The 23,556-nt window shown below is 37.8% G+C and overlaps 1 long non-coding RNA gene across 1 annotated transcript, besides 1 other annotated feature; it reads right to left on the reverse strand.

Moving 5' to 3' along the window:
* On the reverse strand, positions 1-23,550 carry LOC105374226 (uncharacterized). Its single transcript, XR_924729.3, has 4 exons — positions 21,378-23,550; positions 4,626-4,765; positions 1,961-2,083; positions 1-127 (listed from the first exon to the last, which is right to left on the reverse strand). It is a non-coding gene; the product is annotated as an uncharacterized LOC105374226 (long non-coding RNA).
* Positions 21,821-23,020: an enhancer, noted in NCBI's record as "CDK7 strongly-dependent group 2 enhancer chr3:174156710-174157909 (GRCh37/hg19 assembly coordinates)". NCBI's record gives its function as "activates an origin of replication core promoter dependent on BRD2, BRD4, P300/CBP, MED14 and CDK7 cofactors, with strong dependence on CDK7, by STARR-seq in HCT116 cells {active_cell/tissue: HCT116}" and the evidence as "EXISTENCE:reporter gene assay evidence [ECO:0000049][PMID:35650434]".

A 23,556-nucleotide genomic window follows, 5' to 3' on the forward strand; every position in this document is an offset into this window, starting at 1 on the left:
AAGTGATCCTCCTGCCTCAGCCTTTCGAGTTGCCAGGGTTACAGGAGTTAGCCACCACACCTTGCAAAAAAGCTCTTTTTCAAATGGTGTATAGTTCTCTCATGCAAATGGTTTATCAGTCTGAGTCCTATCAAAAGAAAAGCAATACAGTAATTTAAACACGAAAAGTTTAATATAAAAAATTAGCAACAATAAGGGATTAGAATATAAAGAGACTAGATAGTAAGAAGTAAGAAAATTTAACAGAATATAGGAGGATCAAATAAAGGAACAGTCATTATTCCTAGGGCTGAGATTAAACACCCAGAGGAGTCTCACCCTCCACCCAGAGATGAGATCTAGACCTCATGTCAGGAACTGAGAAGGGTCTGATATTTGTCCTCCTTGACAACTAACCAGTTAGTCTGCAACAGATTTGTAGATGCTGGCAGAAAACATGAGATGCTAGAGTCAAAGACAAATAACTTCATTACTCAAGGCATAGAATAGGAAGGTGTCTTAATGAAGGCAATTTACCACAAACTCCCACTATGAGAGGTTCTGGGGGTAGCTGCTGACCGTTGGGTGATGATGGCCAATGTGCACTGAAGGAGTCCAGCACTGGAGAAATTACAAGTGTTGCAAGAGCTTGGTGCTAGAGAAGCTTTGTATGCTGCAGCAGTATAGGGGAAGTTTTGTGCGCTGCAGGAGCGTTCAGAAACCAACCATGCATTGGGAAATAGGAAGCAAAACCATTTTGTCCTTGCAATGTCTCTCCAATGCCCTCAGCTAAGAAATCAGTGCCAACTTTCAAAAGGAAAATATATGTATGTATGTGTGTGTACACACACACACATATTTTTTGTAGGGGGCTGGGCAGTGGGGACGGAGTTTTGCTCTGTCACCCAGGCTGAAGTGCAGTGGTGCGATCTTGGCTCACAGCAACCTCCGCTGCCCAGGTTCAAGTGATTCTCCCTCTTCACCCTGCCAAGTAGCTGGGATTACAGGCATCCACTGCCATGTCCAGCTACTTTTTTATATTTTTAGTAGAGACGGGATTTTGCCATGTTGGCCAGGCTGGTCTCGAACTCTGGACCTCAGATGATCCGCCAGCCTCAGCCTCCCAAAGTGCTGGGATTACAGGCATGAGCCACCACTCCCGGTCCCCAAAGGAAAATATTTAAATATTTAAAGGACTTAGCTCCATTAATGCAGAGCAGGCAAATACAAAAATTTGAAGCTAAAAATAAATCAACTGGTAGCCAGTACAGGTGGCATGCCCTTGCTCTGGAATGTAAGAGTGTACACTTTGACTCTGCTTTTCACTTTTGCTAGAGGCTCGAGAGAGCATCTTTCTCTAATACCTTCGTATATGATGGGTTATATGGTCCAAGCAGATCTACCTATACCACAGTCAGAACATGTCAGAGCCCACAGTCAGAGCCCTTACTTACTCTGAGTTTGCACTCAAAACTAGCAGACTCCCAAACCATCCAACAGAAGGTTTTGGGCAGCATTTCAGGTGCAAAATATGCTACTTCTAAAATCCAAATGAACTCACTAAGATTTGTACTTATTCCGTATTGGTGAGTAGTGCGATAAATTGTTGTTTACTTTGGAAGAGATGCCCTGGATGACAAGATCACTAAAAACTTCAGCGAAGTATCATGTCCTTGAAACTTTATAGAGTTTATCTCCCACCTCTTGAAACATATATTTTAACAAGGTACCCAGAGTATTTTCCATCTATTGCTCATCAGTTTCCGTTAATAAGATGTCATAAATCTAGTGTACCAATACATTATTTTGTAATATGTCCACATGATCAAGGTTCTTTTAGACCATAATGACAAAGAACAGGAGAGTTAACATAGCACTGAGGAAAGACCAACAACATATACTGTTGTTTATTCAATGAATGCATACTGCATTTGATCCCCACCACCTTCTTATGTAGAATAAATTGTACATAGGGCCTCACCATACTGCGTCTTTTTTCTTTTCATTTCTTAATAAAAAATTTTTCTTTTGCTTTCTAAAGCCATTCCTTAGCTCCATAACTTTGGGCAAGTTAATTAGCTTCTCTGCAGATCAGTTGCACCATCTGTAAAATGCAGACGACAATATAAATATCTCAAAAGGGTTATTTTTAGAAATAAGTGAGTTAACACATGTAAAGTAGTTGGAATAGTTCCTGATGTGCAACAAGCATACAATGTTATTATTGCTGCTTTTAAAAAAATCTGTCCCACACATACATTTGTCCTATTAGTAGAGCTGTAGACTAGTCTGGTGATCCGGAAGAAGTTCTTAAGCCACTGTCTGCATGTCCTAGGTATGCAGTCCATCAAGTTCTAGCATTCATAGCTGTCTAGAAAATCTGCCTCTTAACCTAGAGAGAAGTGCTTTGGACATCTGGTGATTATGTACCATCTTTTGAACTTGGGTCTATTGAGTACTTAAGGATGATATGAGAAGGTAAAAAGAAGCACTATGTGACTTCACTCAAACTTTCCATTTCTTTATATTTGTATATTTATAAGGTCTATAACAATTCTAAGGGGCATCAAAAGATTAGTTTGAGAGTTTTTCTTGCCTTCCCCAAGCCAAAAACTTTATAGAAAGTTTTGTATTGTGACTGTAATGTAATTCTCATCAGTGCATTTTTTACTAATGCATTTGTACTTAAATTTGTTGGGGTTTTGGCTTAGCAAGACTATGCTGCAACTGTCTTCAATGCAGGCGCAGGGCAAAATTGACATATAGGCCCAGTTATAGGTAAGTGTTTACATAAATTTCTCAATCCAGATTGCCATATTACTACCAGAAAAATAGATGACTTATATTCTCAACAACAATGTGTAAGATTCTAGTTTAAAATACCTTCACCAGCACTGAGAACTATTCATTTTTATTTTTGTTCATTTGATAAGCAGATAACTCTGCCCTCCTTTTTATGAGAAAAAGAAACATCATTTGTGCATAAATTCCTTACATTCTATTTCGTTTTCTTAGCTACAAGGATATCTACAATTATGCCCATCTTCATCTCTTTCCCTTAATTAAGTCTTAGAGGATGCTGGCATCCCACCTTCTCTTAGAGGTTAGCCTACTACTTGTAATCTGATTCCTATACACATGCATTTTCTTCTGGGACTTGCTACATTAACTGTATTCTTGTTGGTACCTTCAGCGCTTCCTTCTCTATTTACTACTTCCTCTCTACCTGAAACATGAGTGAGTCTCGATCACTTTAAAATTATTTTTTCTTGATCCTGCATCATCTCTTTTCTTTATTTTGCCACCCCTTTTCTTTCTCTCCTTATCCTTATTTCTATTCCTATCTTGAAAGAGTGGTCGATGTTTTTTCATTTCTCATATCCATTTAAAGTCATTCAAAGAAGATTTTCATATATAACTTTTCAATATAATTATTTTGGAAATGATTTCCAATAATCCCTCTAGTTCATAATTCTAATGGCTACTTCTAGTTCATATAGTATTTTACCTCTTTAAGTTATTTGGCCTCATTGGCACTTTTCTTCTTTTTCCGAAATCCTTTCCTCTATTGGCTTTTGTGCTAGATTTTTTTTTTCAGTAAACATTCATCCTCACTCCTTTCTACTCTCTTCTAATTATTGTTGGAGCTAGAAACACCAGGAATTAAAATTTTCAAATTCCTTTCCCACCAGAATTTTGCAGTAATTTACATTCTAACAATGAGAACTTGCTTGAGATTTGAAAGAGAGGAAGCAAAAATCAATTATTTTTCTGGAATCAATGGGCACCAGTAACGGCTTCTGCAAACATGTAGTCAGCTGCGATTATTAACAGCAATTGTCCAAATTTCTAATAAGTTATAACAAATCTTTCTGATTAAAATAATTAGAGGTGTTTATGCTTATGTTTTTCTGATGAAAGCCTTACTAGTCAGCTTCCATGAAAAATACTCTGGTTTTTATTCTGATCCTTCTACAACTCAGTCCGCTCTTTATCAGTGTCCTTTGCAGCATCTAGTTCCTCTCTGCACTCCTTAAATGTTGGTGATTGTTGATGCTCCTGTTTTCTCATCCTACTACATCCCCTCCCTAGTCAATATCACTCATTCTTATACATTATTCTTAAGTTCCAGATTCATGTACAATAATAATGATTATATTAGTCAGATTGGATTTGAGGTAAAGGATAATTCCACAATTTTAGTGGCTTACACAAACAAATGTTTATGAGTTACTTGCATTTCATATCAACTGAGGGTCACTGTGAGTAGGATGTGGGGCTGAGCCCCTATTTGGGACACACTGTTATTACATGGTTCTCAAAACTCCTGCTTGGATGTGGCACATATCACCCGCATGATCAAGCATAGCATGAATAGTATAGGTATGTATATTGTTCACATGGGGAAGCACTGCAACTCACCTAGCAATTGGCATGGATATATACCCCTCCTTCAGGGATAAGGAAGTGCATATCTGTGGATGACAATTTAATCTAACACAATATTGATACCACTAATATCAGTAATTTAAAACTGTTACAATATAAGTATTCCTACTTCTAAAAATCTTTAGGATGCTTTTTATTATTTCATAAAATACCTACAATAGAGATAAACAGAAAATGTAAGAAACATAATGACCTACCTGCCATTTTCTTTCCCTCCAATTCTTACACTTCAAGTCTGAAGCAACTGATATTAACAGGCAAGTGAGTGCTGGTAAAGCCTCTGGCTCTGTTGAGATTTGTAGCTGATTGCTAGTTGTCTGTTACTATCCATTCTCTTCTTTCCATATAATAGAGTAGAAAGTAGTCACATATCTTCCCAGCTAAAGTTTATAATCTCCAGATATCTTACAGTTAAGGGTAACCACATCACAAAGCTTTGCTCAAAGGGATGTAAAAAACCAAAAAGTACTGTGTACCACTCTGAGACTTGAACAGCTAAAAATGATTGGGAATAGGCCATTCTTTCCCTTGATGGGTGGATGAGAATCATTGGAGGATCTTTCCAGAGTTGCACAGGAAGGTCACAGCTATAAGTTGAGTATGGCAGAGATGACTACAAGGACAAGTTTGCCTACTTATCTCTAAGTTATTACATGGATAAGGATAAACTTCTTCTTGTTGAAGTTTCTTGGTCCCTTTGTTATAGTAGCATACCTTGCAGCCTACATAATACAAGGCCCTGGTGGAGAAACACCAGTCTGATTTATTTCCTTTCCCCTTTTCCCATTCCATTTCACCTTGTTGGTAGACATTTCTGGAACAGAGCCTGGGAGTGAGGACCAGAAATCTCTGGATCCGGTTAAGAGACTGGCATTCAGATCCTCATGGACCCATGAGGGAAAGGTTGACACTGGCCACACAAAAGCATGTCAGGTCTCTAAATTAGTTCCCAAGAAGACTCTCATTTCCCTTTATCCTGCTTTATTTTGTTACATAACTTATCACTATATGAAATACTAGATAATTAGTTAAATTAAAATGTCTGAACTTTTGTGTCCAAGATAAAGCCAGAAAATAGGCTCTCTGAATGGGGGGTTTGCTGGGGTAATGACACCCAGTTACAATATTGGGTCCTAAGAGAGATCATACAACGGCTTGAGGTAATTCTAGACTTCCACAACAGACACAGAGATGTTTGGGGCTGAGGAGGGAGGAAGGACACTGCTGACCAGGAATGATTTAAACTAAAGACCTCCATTTCCAGATTGAAGTTACCCTTATTAAGGAAATTATCTTGGGAAATGATGCTCTCTGTCCACACGTTTGAAAAGAATCTTGCCTCTGAGCAAGTGCAATCCAGGCATAGAGTTAGCTAGCCATCAGCTCTTCCAATGAAGGCAACTGTAAACAAAGAAACAGCCCAATGGAAATTTTAAAAAGCACCTTTTGATAGATAACCCAGGTTCAAGAACCTCCCATTCAGAGCCTTCTAGTAGAACTTGGGCTGGAAAACAGCATCCTAGGTGTAGCAGGTGCTCTTGGTGCCTCAATCACATCCCCTCTGCAGGCACTTACCTTTTGGTTTCATTTTGATGACTTTTTACTGCAAGTTCTTGCAACTTTTGCCTTTCTCATAGGAGTGTTCTTAACCTATTCACAGGGTAGGTTAGGAGGACCAGGGAGTAACCCCCCTATAGTCACAGTGGAACTGAGCACCAGTTGCCCAATGAAGGAATCTTGTCATCAACACACTTGTTTTGGCATCCTCTGCTTTGTCCTCTTATTTCTCCATTCCCTTCCTGCTGCTTCCTGTGATCACTTCATTCTAGGAAAACTAACTCTGAAACTCTAGGACTTGAGGTCTTCTCTACTACTTACAATTTTTAAACTTTTGCAAGAATTTCCCAAAGTAAGTGGATTAGTCCATTTTCACACTTCTATAAAAATGCTACCTAAGACTGGGTAATTTATAAAGGAAAGAAGTTTAATTGGACTCACAGTTATGCATGGCTGGAGAGGCCTCAGGAAATTTACAATTATGGTAGAAGGCAAAGGAGAAGCAAGGACCTTCTTCACAAGGTGACAGGAAAGAAAGAAAAGCCCAGGGAAAACTGCCATTTATAAAACCATCAGATTTTGGGAGAACTCCTTCACTATCATGAGAACAGCATGGGGGGAATCACCTTCCACGATCCAATCCCCTCCTACCATGTCCCTCCCTCGACACATGGGAATTATGAGGATTACAATTCGAGATGAGATTTGGATAAGGACACAGCCAAACCATATCAGTAAGAGAAGCTTGTATTAATGCAGGCTTGGCTTTACATTTTCCAAAGTCTTTAGAAATGTTAATAAATAAAAACAGGAGTAAACTTTGTAAAAATGCATCTGACTATAAATATGACCCATTTAATCTTAGAAGAACAATTGATAACAGAGCTATTCTTTTTATTTAGTTGCTGGGAATTCCAATGTTCATATTATCAGGAAGTCCAAGATCTCCTTCTGAAGGCTCATCTCTTTATGTACTGTCCAAAACCTTAGGCAGAGAAAGAAACGGAAACTGTGACCAGTCCCCTAAGAGGGCTTACATCAGGCTTGCCATTGTTCCCACTGCTGCCAGTTAAAACTTGCTGTATAAACTTTGTATTGCCTAAACTGAAGCATCCCTGCCCTCTCTTGTTGCCCTCAGTTACCCAGTTTCCAGCACAGGCTTCAGAAGGGCACCATACTCAAGATTCCAGGATGATACTCCCAGGCTTTGCCATTGTGACCAATGTGCACAAACAAATGGGTCCGTGTAGAGATAATATCATCTGCTCTAAGGAGATTTTTCTGCATTTACATCGGCCAGTGGAAAATTAGAAGCATCTTTTAATGATACATAAGTGAATTAATGCTTTCAATATTTTTGAAAAACTCAGGGAAGGATAGATGTCAGAATATATGTCATCATATCCACATGTTGAAATTATGGTTGATTTTTAGTTTTCTTTTTGTTTCTATATACTCCAAATATCTTTAATGCAAATGAATTACTTTTGTAATTATATTTTTAATGCTATAATTTTTGGGAAAAAAATTTTTTTAAATGTGACTTAGGGAGTTAGACACATCAGAGAATGGAGAAGAGCACAAGGCAAACCACCACCTTGTAAACTTTAGAGTCAGGTACATCCAGAGACATAAAGCCACCAAGATCTGTTTCTCTGAAGCAGAAACCACTGGACTCCAAAGCAGGAGTAAAAACATTTAGATAACATTTTTAGTGAATTGCTGGAGGCTTAGTGCATGCTGGTATAACAATGTAGGGCTTTCAAGAGTCATAGTCATAAGACAGCCCCTTACATACTTGGATTTTTCCTCAGGAAAACCACCAGATTTTTACAGGTGGTCTCTGAGAAAGACCCGTCATGGAATTGCCAGGGAGAAAGAAAGAGTATTCATTGTGAAGCCCTCCCAGAATTTTCTCCATGACAAAGGGCAACTCTTACCCAATCCAGCCCTGTCCATCCTGCCTGTCTCTCCTGGAGGGCAAGGGTTGGGGGGAAACACCATAATCAATAAGGGAGGGAGGCTTACAGAAAACAGTCTGGGAATGCCATACCCAGAGCAGATTGGAGTATTGGAGTGGGAGGTGACAGAAGACAGGCAGGGGAGAAAGTCTAGAACAAGTCATGTGGTACTGGATAAGAAATCAGTGCTCTGTACCCTGCAAGGGCCTAAAAGCTATGATACCCAGTATGGGTAAGCACAGCCAACATTGCTTTGTAATACCGAACAATAACTTGACCTCACTCTTTCCTATTTGGGGATTAATGAAAATACTTTTTATCTTAGACTTGTATAAAGACGTTATGCATGATTTTTTTTTTCTTTCTCTAATTGCTACATTTATTTTTGTGATTCCTTCATCATATTTTTTAATATTATAAAATTAATTTAAAAGACATCTCATCAAGATAAGCAGTGAAAGGTGGTACATGAGGGCTCTAATTTCAGAACTTTTGGTTGCAAAAGACAGGAATCCACTTAAGAAAAACAGGATGTATATGATTCACTTATCTGAGAGGTCTAAGCGTGTAGACACAGGTGGCAGCTAATACCGTGTCATCAGAACATTTTCTGTCTTGGTTCTGTTTTCCTCAAGAGACTCTACATGAAGTGAGGAACCTGGCTGTCAGCAGCTCTAGGCCTAGAGCCTGTACAGCGTTATAAATAATTGCAACTCTCTTTCCCCTAAATATGGTATTGGGGCTGGGTGCAGTGGCTCAAGCCTGTAATCCCAGCACTTTGGGAGGCCGAGGCAGGTGGATCACTTGAGGTCAGGAGTTCGAGACCAGCCTGGCCAACATGTTGAAACCCCGTCTCTACTAAAAATACAAAAATTAGCCGGGCATAATGGCAGGAGCCTGTAATCCCAGCTACTCAGGAGACTGACGCAGGAGAATGACTAGAACCTGTGAGGTGGAGGTGGCAGTGAGCCAAGATTGCACCACTGCACTCCAGCCTGGGTGACAGAGTGAGACTGTCTAAAAAAAAAAAAAAATACATATATATATATAGTATAGGGGCTTTGAGATCACAAATTTGCCTCTGTGGTGATAGAGAGTAGGGTCCTTTTCTAGATAGTCCTATCACATTCATATGGGGTAGAGAAAACCATTTCCCCAAGGCGAGGACATATTGCAGAGAAAAAGAGATGTAACAGATATATATTACACAGACTGTTTGTCAGGATGGACGAGCTGAAAGTTACATTAATAGACACAATTTTATACTTAATGTAGAAAATCATGAAAGTGGTGAACTGAAGAAACCTCAAACATATACACTATATAAAGAAAGTTGAAAAAAATTATGTAATATTTGGGATAGATTATTTTGCCTTTGTTTACACAAGGCTTAATATATAATTTCTATGGTTTGAATGTTTGTCCCCTCTGAAACTCATGTTGAAACTTAATCCCCAATGTAAAAGTACTTTTACATCCTAAAGTAGTGCCTTTAAGAAGTGATTGGAAGCTGGGCACGGTGGCTCACGCCTGTAATACCAGTACTTTGGGAGGCCGAGGTGGGTGGATCACTTGAGGTCAGGAGATGGAGACGAGCCTGGCCAACATGGTGAAACCCTGTCTCTAATAAAAATATAAAAAATTAGCCGGTTGTGGCGTAATCCCAGCTACTCGGGAGGCTGGGGCAGGAGAATCACTCAAACCCAGAAAGCGGAGGTTGCAGTGAGCTGAGATCATGCCATTGCACTCCAGCCTGGGCAACAAAAGCAAAACTCTATCTCAAAAATAAATTAAATAAATAAATAAAATAAATTTTTTAAAAAAGTGATTGGGTCATGAGGACTCTGGTCCCATAAGCGGATTAATGGTTTACTAGATTAATGTATTATTCCAGAAGTGGGTCTGTATAAAACCCAATTTGGCTCTCTCTCGCGTGTCCCTCCTGCTCTGTGATGCCTCCTACCATGGTATGATACAGCATGAGGCCCTCACCAGAAGGTGACCACATGTGGCCCCTCAGTTTTGGACTTCCCAGATTCCAGAGCTGTAACAAATAAATTTATTTTCTTTATGAATTACCTAGTCTCTGGTATTCTGTTACATCCATACAAAGCAGACTAAGACAGTCATTAAAACCATTCTGTATTCTAGTAGTCATCTTTCTTTTTAATCATTAGACAATCATTGTATTTTCGATATCAAAGTGGATTCTAAATCATATTTAGGAATGCTTTGCTGTAGTTATTTAAGATACCCTTTAGTATGAAAAATCCTCACAGATATTCATGCTAAGTCATCCATTCAATAAACAGAGCTTGGGCTGCACATACCATTTAATATTTTTTCCCGGTTCATTTGGTATATTGACAGGGCAGGGAGAGAGAAATTCTCAAGTCTCGTTTCCACCTTATAGTCTGGCCTTGTATCAGTAATTTTTGTAAAAAATAGATTTTCAAGATGTGATCATATTTTAAAAGCTTTGTAACATGACGAAAAAGAAAATTGGCAATCACACAGTTCATCCTTTTAGTAAATAAACCATTTAGGAAGATCAGAAACACAAGGGAGAAAGAAGAAAATTATACCCCACATAAGAAAAAAATGAGGAATGGAGGCAAAAAAACACTTCACTTTTAATTTTTTGAGTAATTAAGATTTTAATTTCATGAATAGTTCTCTAATTTTTAAAAAATCAAACATGTCTTTTGGACAGAGAGGGGGATATTCTTTGAACTACTTGAAATTTAAAAAACATATATCCATCAATCATACCAACAGTAATTGTAGTAATAAAAATTTTAAATTATCCTCATTATTTCAGACATGGAAGTTCATTTCTGAATGAACATACAAAATGTGGTCAGGCACGATGGTAGCTATTGTCTGTAATCCCAGCACTTTGGGAGGCTGAGGTGGGAGGATTGCTTGAGCCCAGGATCAAGACCGGCCTGGGCAACACAGCGAGACCTTATCTCTATTTTAAAAAGGAAATAAATTTAAAAAACAACATTCAATGCATAGCTCTAACATGAAAATATGTGTATTTTAAATATTACATTAAAGAAATGAAGATTTTGTATGTAAAAACTGTTAAGTCTTTAACACTTTCATAGATCTTCAGAATTCTTTAATTTTGTATTGAAGGGAAATTTCAAATTTCCTGCTTGAAATAGTCAGACTAAGCTAAAAGATGTTATAAACAGCACCAAAATATCAGTGGCTTAATGTAATAAACATTTATTTCTCATACCCAAAGTCCAAAACAGATGTTCTAGGTTCAGTGGCTCTCCTAGTGTCTCACCTCTAAGGAAGAACTCAAGGACCCACGCTCTTCTCATCTAGTTTCTCCTCCACAGAGAGGTCAGAGATTTGAACTCACAAAAATGCACAGTTGTTCTGGATATGAATTTGCTTTACTTGTCAGCAATGCTTTGGCCACCACCACCATTCATAGACTTCCAACATGCCAAAATTTATTACCTTGAAGTCCCACTCAACACTGTATTATGACAAAAATAGTGTTTCCCCCATGTCACACGTCTTTCCCCCTATGTCACTGACTTAGATTATCTGCTATAGCATACAATATATGTTTTGAACACATACGGTGCTATTTCTCCCAAAGCCAAAATTCATGGCTCTGAGAGTCAAGAGGCAGAAATAAAAGTGGCTTCCCTTACTGTTAAACCTAATTATCCATTTACAAAAGTTTGGTTTCCATCCCTGAAACTTTGGACCCTGCTAACTTAGTAACCTCAGTTCCCAAAGGAACTAAGAATAATTTCACCGTGAGACACAACCCCTGTTCCATCAAATTGGATGTCGAGACTACCACATAGCTATGTTGGGTTTTTCATAAACTTTTAATGAATTAACTGTCAAAGAAGGGGATACTTTATTGGCTGAAGTGATTGACTCTGATTTTCAGAGAAAAATTAGGCTCCTACTACATAATGGGCACAGAGAGGATAACAAGTGGACTCTCTGAGTTACCTTTTAGCATGGATGTATTCAACAGTAAAAATTAAAGGGAAAACAACAGAAGTCCAATAAAGACAAAATGACTGAGTCATTAGATCTTCAGAAATAAATATTTGATGTTACTCTACCAGGTTAATAAATACGACCAGCAGAGACACTGGCCGAGGTCAATGGAACATGTCGTGGATAGTGGGAGAAGTTACAATTATCACATTTCTTGGCTGGGCACGGTGGCTCATGCCTGTAATCCCAGCACTTTGGGAGGCCGAGGCGGGTGGATCACCTGACATCAGCAGTTCGAGACCAGCCTGGCCAACATGGTGAGACCTCATCTTTACTGAAAATACAAAAATTAGCTTGGCGTGGTGACACGTGCCTATAATCTCAACTACCTGGGGGGCTGAGGCAGGAGAATCACTGAAACCAGGGAGGTGGAGGCTGTAATGAGCTGAGATGGCACCACTGCACTCCAGCCTGACCAACAGACTGAGATTCCATCTCAAAAAGAAAAAAAAAAAGAAAAAAAAATTCTTCTGATTAGTTACAGAAACAAGGACTAGCAACTTTGCACATAGTATTTTCCCTCTTCTCTACGTAATTAATTTAGATAAGGATTAGTGGTGATGATTAGCATTTTTACTTTGTTGCTCAGTTATAGAGTATCTGAGGTAGTTATGACTGAACCAGTAGAGGGACTAAGCTAACTGATAGATCAAGAAGGTGATGTTAACATTCTTATCTGTATTTCCCCTTTTAGGGTAGAGGGTAAAAGTATTTTTGTCTGAATAAATGCAAAATCATGAGATTGTTGCTAAAGAATTTAAAAATTAGAAAGGAGGGTCGGGTGTGGTGGCTCACGCCTGTAATCCCAGCACTTTGTGAGGCTGAGACAGGTGGATCACCTGAGGTCAGGAGTTCAAAACCAGTCTAGACAATATGGTGAAACCCCATCTCTACTAAAATACAAAAATTAGCTGGGTGTGGTGGTGCGCACCTGTGATCTCAGCTACTAGGGTGGCTGAGGCAGGAGAATTGCTTGAACCTGGGAGGCGGAGGTTGCAGTGAGCCGAGATTGTGCCACTGCACTCCAGCCTGGGCAACAAAAAGAGACCTTGTCTCAAAAAAAAAAAAAAAAAAAAAAAATGAAAGGAGATGTGCACAGATGCTGAGATAACAGAGGTAAGGAGTGTACTGGTTTTTTGCCCATTGACTTTGCTTCAAATCTATGCTTCCATAGTGTTTTCTGTAGTGCTAGTGTATACCTGGAGCACAGGTGTACATTTCTGAGACATCTATTAATTTCTGCTAATAGGTGTTTGTCACTAAAGGGATTTTGGAAGGTGGAAAAGAAAAGAAGGACTTCCTTTTTTCCTGTCAGCATGGTTTGAGCAGAAGCAGTTAGATTCCATCTTAATTGTGTTTTACTATTCTCAGAACTGGTCATACAGTCTCTCAGAGGGATCAGCTGCAGCCAATTGTGTTCTGTGTTAAGAGGTCAGAGCACCATCTCCTGGGGTCTCTCCTCTGCACTCCTGAAGTACAGAAAGTAGCTAGGAGACACCCTGTAATAGAGTCTGACTTCATTTTTTTACGTTTGACTTTTAACTTATTTTAGCCTCACCTCCCCCTTCCCATTTGGCCCCACATCTGAACATGCCGATAAGAAAGCCTGTGTGCCTCCTCCTTTGGCACTGGTGGAAAATTCAAATCTTGCAAGTAGCCAGCCTATGGATAGGAACTTTTCCCCCTTCCCACTCCCTAGCCATCATTATGGTTTAACCCACTCCTTCTGCCTGACTTAAATCAGCATGAACCTGCTTGTGCCTGTGTAAGGATCACAGTGCTTTGGTAAAGAATAGGCAGAGGTAAATATCCAGAGTGTCTCAGTGAGTTTAGAGTGCAGATGTGTAACTCCACTTATTATCATAGCCATGTAGCCATAACATGGGAAGGCCATCACTTAGCTCTAAGCCACTATTGTCTGTTAAAGGTATAATTGCCCTGCTGACACTGTGTGGGGTACACTTGTGCCCAGAAAGAGAGCCAGAGCTGTCTGTCTTGCAGACAAACAAGGGGAAGTCAGGATACAGCTCAGCTCACTAGTGCCAAGAAAGAGAAAGAGTTAAGCTGCTGACCCTGAAGGCAAGGGAAAGCCGGCTGTGCAGCTGTGCATGGGAGCAGCTGGCTCAAGCAGCCAAGACAGAGAGGACAGTGTAAGAGAGCTGCTGATGAGAGAGCCGCTGAATAAAGCCATGTCTCATTTACCTGCTGTCTCTGGGTGTTCTTCTAGCTCCATGCCCCACATCTACCTACACCCCTTGGACCTCAGCTGGAGCTTGACCCTAACCCTGAGCATAACAGCCTGTTCTTATTGCCTTAGGAGTTGCTGTGTGAGTAATAAACTTTTTCTCAAGTTTATCTGGTGTGTGGAATGTCCGCAGCCTCTACCTCATATCTATAATAGGAAGGGGATCCATACCACCTTTAAGGGTGACAATAATATATAGCCCTTTCTCAGAGGACTGACCAAATAATTTATGATTAATTATTTTCTGAGTTCCTAAGTTTTCGTAACCCACCTGTTCCCTTTTGCTTCCCTGATGTATTTATTATTATTGGTGCATAACAAATTACCCAAAATTTAGTGTCTTAAAGCAAATGTTTATTATTTCAGTTTCTGAGGGTTGGGAATGTAGACATAGCTTAGATAGATGCCCCTGGTTCAAAATTTCTTATGGAGCTGTATTAGAATTGTTGGCAGAGGCTGTGGACTCATCTGAAGGCTTGACTGGTAGAGGAGAAATCAGCTTCAAAGCTCTCTCACATGGTTGTTGGCAGGCTTTAGCCCCTTGTCGCATAAGCTCTCTCCCTGCTAGACTGCTTCGTAATATGTCAGCTGGCTTTCCCCAGGGTGAGTCATCCAACAAAGAGTGAAAGAGAACATGCCAAGACAGAATCCATAGTATTTTTATATCCTAATATTTAAACTGGTCTCTGATTATGTCTGCTTAGTTCTGTTCATTAGAAGCTTCATTAGGTCCAGCCTATCCTTGAGGGGAGGGTCATGTATGAATGGAGGACATGAGTATCAGGAAGTGGGGGTTTTGGATACCATTGAATAAGCTCTCTATTACACCCAGCCCTAGGGTAGTAGCTGTTTCCTGCTATTATCTCAGAACTAAAAAGTAACTTTGTGCTTCTTCATCTTCACTGATTACACACCTGTGTAATCAATGTTCTGATATTAAATCTCCTTTCTTTGAATAAAAAGCATGATTTATTTTTCCTGACTTGACTGTAAAAAACACAATACATAGGATCCTATGCTGGAGTTTTTCCACATCTAATTCACAAATAAAGAGAGCATGGGATACTTTTGTCCACATCTCATTGGCCAGAACTCAATCACATGACTAATATAACTGCAAAGGTGGCTGAGAAATGTATGGAATACCCAGATATTAGTGAAAATAATAGTGTCTGCATGCTGATTATTTTTCAAGAAGTCATACACACACTGTCAATACTTCCTAAGTACTACTTTCTAAGCTAAATAACTTTCTTTACAAAAACATTTTTTTCAAAAAACTCAAAACACTGCAAGCATGATGATTCTAATTTATGGATTTTTTTCCCCATTGGATTCTTCATGAGGAAATTTATTTCCCAAAAATGTGCTGAAAGTAGTGGAAGCTTCATGTAGTCAATAATTTGAGTCTGTGATTCAAAGGTAATTTAATAATTTTTTCAGTTATTATAGAATTAAAATATTAATAGTTGTTATCATACAGTTTTCAGCAAAAATAGTAACTTTTAGAAACTGTACAATATATTAGCATAAAATGCACTATATGCACAAATTTCTGTTTTTCTGAACTTTAAAATCATTAGAAATGAAAACGAATCTTGTCTATGTGTGAGGGCTTATCTGCTATTTTCAAATACTATGTATCTTTATAGTCAAAACAGATGTAGATAGAATCCATGGTTTAATTACTAAGAAAGAATTCTTAACAGTGAACTTCCGTACTTTCAGAGTATGACAGGGAGATTACTCAACTTCAAAATAAGTTTTCCAATTTTATCTGCTTATGTTTTATGAATACTTGGGGTACACTATTTATAAAGATGTAATTTCATAACATCGAAAACAAAAAAAGGTAGGCCTAGATCTAAAGTAGCTCTAAAGGACCACAACTTCAATATCTTATTGAAGTTAAGCTGGTGTAAATTCAAGTAAGATTATTATAACTTTAGAATGTTAACTATACTCCCCCAATGTAAGCACAAAGAAAGTAGATATAGAATATACACATAAAAATATGAGAAAGGAAGGTAAATGTTTCACTAGAAACAATCAACTCAACAAAATGAAGACAGTATTACAGGAAATGAAATATGAAAAGGTATAAAGCATATAGAAAAAAATAGCAAAATGACAGAAACAAGTTCCTCCTTATCAATAATTAAACATAAATGAATTAAACTTTCCAATCAAAAGATGGAGATTAGCAGAATGAATAAAAAACAGGACCCAACTACAGTCATGCTCTGCTTAACAACCAGGATATGTCCTGAATAATGTATCATTAGGCAATTTTATCATTGTGAGCATTATAGAGTGTACTTACACAAACCTAGATGGTCTAGTGTACACACACCTAGGTGATAAGGTATAGCCTATGGCTTCTAGGCTGCAAACCTGTACAGCATATTACTGTACTGAATACCATAGGCAATTATATCACAATGATAGGTATTTTTTAAATCTAAACATATCCAAACATAACAAAGTTATAGTAAAAATAAAGTATTGTAATTGTATGGGACCACCATCATATCTTTAGTCCACTGTTGACCAAAATATTATTACATGGCATACGACTGTATATGCATCTACAAAAGAGTCATTTTAGATTCAAAGACGGAAATAGATTGAAAGTGAAAAGATGGAAAAATATGTTTCCTGCAAATATTAATAGTAACCAAAAGAGAGCAAGGGTGGTTATACTAAAATCAGACAAAATAGACTTTACATCAAAAAGTTTTACAACATAAAGGATAATCCATATTAGTAAAAAGTTTAATACAACAAGATATAACAATGATTAATATTTACACACCTATATAAGACCATCAAATGTTGGAGGCAAAACCAGACAGAATTGAAAGGAGAAATAGGCAATTCCACAACAGTTGGAGATTTCAATATCCTATTCTCAATAATGGACAGTACAATTCAATGGAATAAGACAATAGAAGACTTAAACAACACAATATACCAACTAGATCCACTAGATATGTACCTTACAGTCTATCCAATAACAGAATACACATTCTTCCCTAGAGTACATGAGACATTTTCATAGACCATGTTAGATCACAAATTAGGTCTCAATAGAATTAAAAAGACAAACAGCATACAGAGTATATTCTCCAACTCCAATTAGTTGTAGTTAGAAAACAGTAACAGCAGGAGAAATTCACAAATTTGAGGAAATTAAACAGTCTTACACAACCACTGGATCAAAGAAGAAATCACAGGAAAATGATCTAAACTTAGAAATAAATGAAAATGGAAACACAGCACCAAAACTCATGGCACTAGTGAAAGCAGTGCTAAGGATCAAATTCACAGTCATAAACGTTTAGATCAAGAGCCAAGAAAGTTCTCAAATCAACAACTTTATAGCTTAACAAACTTGAAAAACAAGAATAAGCTAAATGCAAAACTACTAGAAGGAAGGAAATAATAAAGATTAGAGCATAGATCAACAAAATAGAAATAAAAAATAGAGAAAATTAATGGAACCAAAAGTTGGTTCTTTGAAAAGATCAACAAAATTGACAAACTTTAGCAAGATGAACAAAGAAAAAACGAAGATTCAAATTACTAAAATCAAAAATGAAAGTGAGGACATTATTATTGATTCTACAGAAATAAAAAAAGATTATGAGAGTACTATACACAATTGTATGCCAACAAATTGGATAACCTAAATGATATAAATAAATTCCTAGAAATGCAAAACCCATGGAAACTAAATCACAAAGAAATACAAAAATCTGAGTAGACCTATAGCTACTAACAAAACTGAATCAGTATAAGATATACAGGGGGAAAAAAAAGGATATTTTGCCTTTTCTTATACATTCAATACTACAGAGAATACTTCACCTCTAATCACTAAGATACGTGGGAATTTCTCCCCACACATGAAGCAAACAATCAATTCAGCAACTGACACCAGCTGGCTGTCCTATAATTCAACTCAATTTGCAACTATCTAACTGGTAATAGTGTCAGATCCCACAGGCTGAGGGCTCAGTTCCACATGGGTGTTCCCCACTTCAGATGCCAGTCAGTTGCAACCACAAGTTATGATCTGTGCTTCTGATCAACTAGCTATTAATCAGCGTTCCCACAACTCTCAGGTTTAAGTAATTTGCTAGAATGGCTTGCAGAACTCAGGGAAACAGTTATTTATGTGTACCTATTTATTATTTTAAAATATTACGGAGGATACAGATGTATGGCCAGATGGAAAAGATACAGAGGGTAAGGTGTGTGGGAAAAAGCACAGAACTTCCATGCCCTCCCTAGGTTCACCATCCTCCAGGAAACTCTGTGTTCAGCTATCCAGAAGCTCTCCAAATCCTGTCCTTTGGGGTTTTTATGGAGGCTTTATTATGTAGACATGGTTGATTACATCAATGGTCATTGGTGATCAAATTAATCTTCAGCCCCTCTCCTCTCCCAAAGTGGGGTGTGTGTGACTAAAAGTCCCAATCCTCTACTTTTTTTGGTCCAATCACATTTCTACGTGTCTGTAGATCACAGATTGTATCTTTTTTGTCTAATCGCAATTCTACATGGCTACCCATTCTTCATCAAACTTAAGCCTAAAAATAGTCTTCCCTAGGTCTTTGGTCTTCATTTCTGAAGACTCCTGTGTCATGTAAAACTTCAATTAAACAAATTTGTTATGCTTTTGTCTTGTTACTTTTCTTTTGTTACAGGAATCTTGGCCATAACCTTTATGATGAATGAGGAAAAGTATCACATCTATCCATCCCTACACACCCATTAGGATGGCTACAATCAGAAAAACACAAAATAAAAAGTGTTGGTGAGGATATAGTTTAAACTCTTTGCACTGTTGGTGGGAATGTAAAATGGTGCAGCCACTGTGGAAAACACTACGGTAGTTCCACAAAAATAAAAACAGAATTGCCATATGATCTAGCAATCCCAATTCCTGGTTATCGATCCAAAATAAGTGAAAATAGAGTCTCAAAAACATATTTGTACACCCATGCTCACAGCTGCATTATTTATAATAGCTAAAACATAGAAGCAATCCAAGTGTCCATCAAAGTGTTAAAGTATGCTACTGGCTGACAGATAAAATGAATTCCCTGTGGCTGAGGCACTCTATGTTAAAATAGAGCAAGGTGACCATAGCTGGGTGAAGGAATAGCCATGTACTCTGTGTTCTCAGAAAGAGACTGTAAAAATGTCACAGAGCCTTTCTTTTTGCAGTCAAGCCAAACTAGTTCCTGTTATTGGAACCGAGATAGACTGCAGCTGGAAATTTTCAAACTGACCACAAACAGATCACCTGAGGCCAGCCAATAAAGAGACACTTGTGAGGTCTTGCTTAAACTTTATCCAGTCCAAACCCCACAACCCCACACCTGATTTCCACCCCACCCTCATCCTGCAGTTTTTGCCTTTATAATCTCCTACTCTCTGACCTCTCCTCGAGGGACACTTTCATTCTACACCAGAGACTACATCTTCCCAATCTACAGATTGCTTTTAGAAAATAAATTTCTCCTTTTGCTTCCACAGATCTCATTGGTCTTTTGTTAATAGAAGGATGAATGGATAATCAATATGGGTGGCACATGGGGAGCTAATTGTTTACTGGGTACAGAGTTTCAGTTTTATCAGATGAAAAGAGTTCTAAAGATAGATGCTGGTGATGTATGCACAATAATTATGAATATTTAATACCACTGAACTATATACTTAAAAATTGTTGATGATAAATTTTGTCATATTTTACCAAAAAAAAAAATGGAAAAAAGGACTTGCAAAAATAATTTTTAACTAAGAATGTCTAGTTGTTTCCAAAAACTAAAAACATAGGGTGACCACTCTTAAACCTACCTCAAATATCTAAAAAGTTTAGAGTGCTATGGATTTGAATAGTTTCAAGTAGACCACTTCTAAAATATGTACATCAGTTTTCATAAACACATATATATGGTTGACAGGAAAAAACAAGAATCTGCATCTTTTGTTTGTTTTTTGTTTTTGGTGAGTCCTATCTTCCCTATTACTATTTTTATTTTTTAGTTTTTTAATTTTAAACATTTTAAAAATTTCAATAGTTTTATGGATACAAGTGGTTTTTGATTACATGGATGAATTGCATAGTGCTGAAGTTTAGGATTTTAGTGCACCTGTCACTCAAGGAGTGTACATTGTACCCAACAGATAATTTTTCATGGCTCACCCTCCTTCTTCTCTCCCCTCTCTGAGTGTCCAATATCCATTATATCACTCGGTATGCCTTTGCTTATCCATAGCTTAGGTCCAACTTATAAGTGAGAACATAGGATATCTGGTTTTCAATTCCCGAGTTACTTCACTTAGAATAATGGCCTCCAGTTCCATTCAAGTTGCTGCAAAAGACAATGTTTCACTCTTTTTTACAGCTGAGTAGTATCCCATGGAGTGTGTGTGTGTCTGTGTGTGTATACATACATATATACACACATGTATATGTATATATGTGTGTTTGTGTATACATCATATATATATATATATATATATATATATATATATATATATAACTTATCACATTTCTCTATCCATTCATTGGTTGGCAGTTAGGTTGAAGAGTCTGCATCTTTTAAGACCGTCCCCTCTTAATAAGCTGGGTTATTAAGTAATCTTGCAACACACTGTTGTCAGCTAAAGCTCAAATTTGGCTTGGCAACCACACTTCAGTTTTGACACAGTCTTTCGAGGAATTCCTGAAATTAGTTTCCAAAACTGTAAATTTGCTGAGGCTATTTGGCTGTTTAACTATTGCTTCTTTTTATGCAGTGATTTAGCAACAGGTAATGTAACAATGCGGCAGGAAATCCTCACTACCCTGAGGTTTTATATTAGAGAGAAAAATATCTTTTGAAATCCAAACAATCTTTTCCAATATAATCGTCTATGAAATGTTAAATGGAAATCAAATTAGCACACTAAGGCTAAATTCAATTGTATATATAAATTCACTTGTAATATCATCAAATTCACATATTTATAGCTTATATTCTATCTATAAAACACCTGGAAAAGCCAATCACTATTTAATAAAATATTAACTTAAATTATTAACATAATGAGTGATGGATTTAAGTGATTTAAAAGCAAACACTTACTACTCACAATCCACCTCTGGATAAATTCACATGATCAAAACCTGAGTCAAGGTTCAGTTTAAAGAATGCCAAGTCCATCAAAAAATTGCACCCAAGGGATTCAGGTGATGGAGGTGTTTTATGAGCACACACAAAACAAGTGATACACGTTTTTGTCTCCACTTAAGATGAAAGGAATTTTCTTCTTTGACCACAGTGTTTCACACAAGGTAAGCTTTTTATCTGATCTGAGGAGATCTTCTTAGTTCCCAGCTTTAGTTTATATTGCCTATTTGTTTAAGGCAAGTCACAGACATTCATTTTACAGCCCACAGTTCAAAGGTTCCCCTTAGAAAGGCTTCCTAATCCCTTTCTCTATTTTCTGGGCCTTGGTTTGTTTTCTTGCTCCTTTTAGGTTAAGGGCTTCGCAGCATTTAAGATTTTATCTTTTTTTGGTTTCACATTAATAAAGGTTTAATGATAATCTGTTTGCCTCAGCCTGAAGGCTTAGCAAAATTGAAACAAAGGAAAAGGGATTCTTATCTTACTAATAGTTTTTTGCTTGAGCAAAAATTATCCCTTCAGAAATTTTGCTTCTACAAAAGTATTTCGTCAGAAGTTGCCGAAAGAAGCACTTTCACGTCTTTTACCCTGAAGAAGTTCTCCTAAGAAAAAGCAAATCATTACAAGAATCTAATAGAGGTTTTTAATTTTTATTTTTTCCTTTTTTGAAGGTCTGGCTGGTGGAGGGAGGCCCCCATTTTTCTTTATAGAATAGGAAAAACTTTCCTCCAGTCTTTGGTTCTTACGGTAATTAAGGAATAGAACTGTTTCTGATTTCTAGTCCATTCCCTTTCACTCGAGTCGTATTATTTTCTTGTCTGAAAAAACTTCTGATTTCACATCTGCCAACTACTCTTATTCTCATTAAAACTTCAGCTAAAAAACCTTTCTTTCACAAAGCTTTACCCTCTTAGAGAGGCCTAGCTGAAATTCCTTCCATTCTTTCGTATTAATTAAAAGCACCTTTCCCGTAGGCGGTTCCACTGTAAAAAATCATATTATAAAAATGGATAAAAAGCAATACGGTGAAAGTAGAAACAAAGGGGAGGGAAAATGAAAGTGGGAGAAACGGTTGCTTGTTTTGGAATCTGTAACTGTAAGCTCCTGGTGGGTGGATACTCGTACATTAAGTAACTAGTTTGGCTTTTAAGTTCACTTCTCAAATCTTTATTCACACTCTTTTCTTCTAAAATTGACAGAAGTACAGAAGGGAACATCACACAGTAAAACTAACCAGAATGCGTCCATCTGGCATGCCTTTCAGGAATCCAGCCCACTAATATTTGCTGTGGGTTTCATGACTCAACCCTTCAAGATGCCGCACAAGGAAGAATTTCCTCATTTTGCAGAACTGCCAAATCTCATTCACTGGAGCAAAGGCTCCTCATTTGGGGCTCATTTTTAGACAGTTGTTTCTCTGTTTATACATTGTAAAAATCTCCCTCAGCGGATGGAGTTTGTCATGCATTTCTAAATAGTGAGTAAACATATTCCTCCACTCCCTCCCGGCAGGACACACTTCAGCATTTTGGCCACTGAGCCTAGTTGAATTTCTCTCTCCTTCCTTCCTCCCCTCTTCCCACGCAGCCTAGCTTTATTCTTGCTTCCTTGGTTTTATTTCTTCCTCTCTTCCTCCCTTTTTCTTCCTTCCCTACCTTCAGCCACATCTTTCAGCCTCGTTTGTTCCTTGGAGGCTTTTATTCACCCCTCTTCCTCTCTTCTTTCCTCCTTCCCCCTTCTTCCTTCCCTCGCTTCAGCTACTTCTCTTAGCCCCGTTTGTTCCTTCCAGGCTCCACTTTCTTCTCTTCCATTGGTAATTTGTCTAATTTACTCCACTTGAAAAAAGAAAAATCTTGATTTATATTCGTATCTTCTTCCATTCAAAACTGTTATCTAAGTTCCTCTTTATTATCTCCTCCCTCCTATTTTAAAATAACAATTAACATTTAGCGAGTGCTAAGTGCAGGCAGGATGCCAAGCTCTCTCGCAGTCTCTCTTGAGGGAGGTACCTTTATTATCCTGTTTCATGGATGAAAAACAAAAGCACAGAATTCAAGTAACTTGCGTAAGTCACGAAGCTATAACCAGGAATTTGGCTCTGCAAGCAATGGGCTTTAAAAATTCTTTTAAAAGTTTT

This window comes from Homo sapiens, chromosome 3 (assembly GCF_000001405.40).
Source record: "Homo sapiens chromosome 3, GRCh38.p14 Primary Assembly".
NCBI classification, from domain to species: Eukaryota; Metazoa; Chordata; class Mammalia; order Primates; family Hominidae; genus Homo; species Homo sapiens.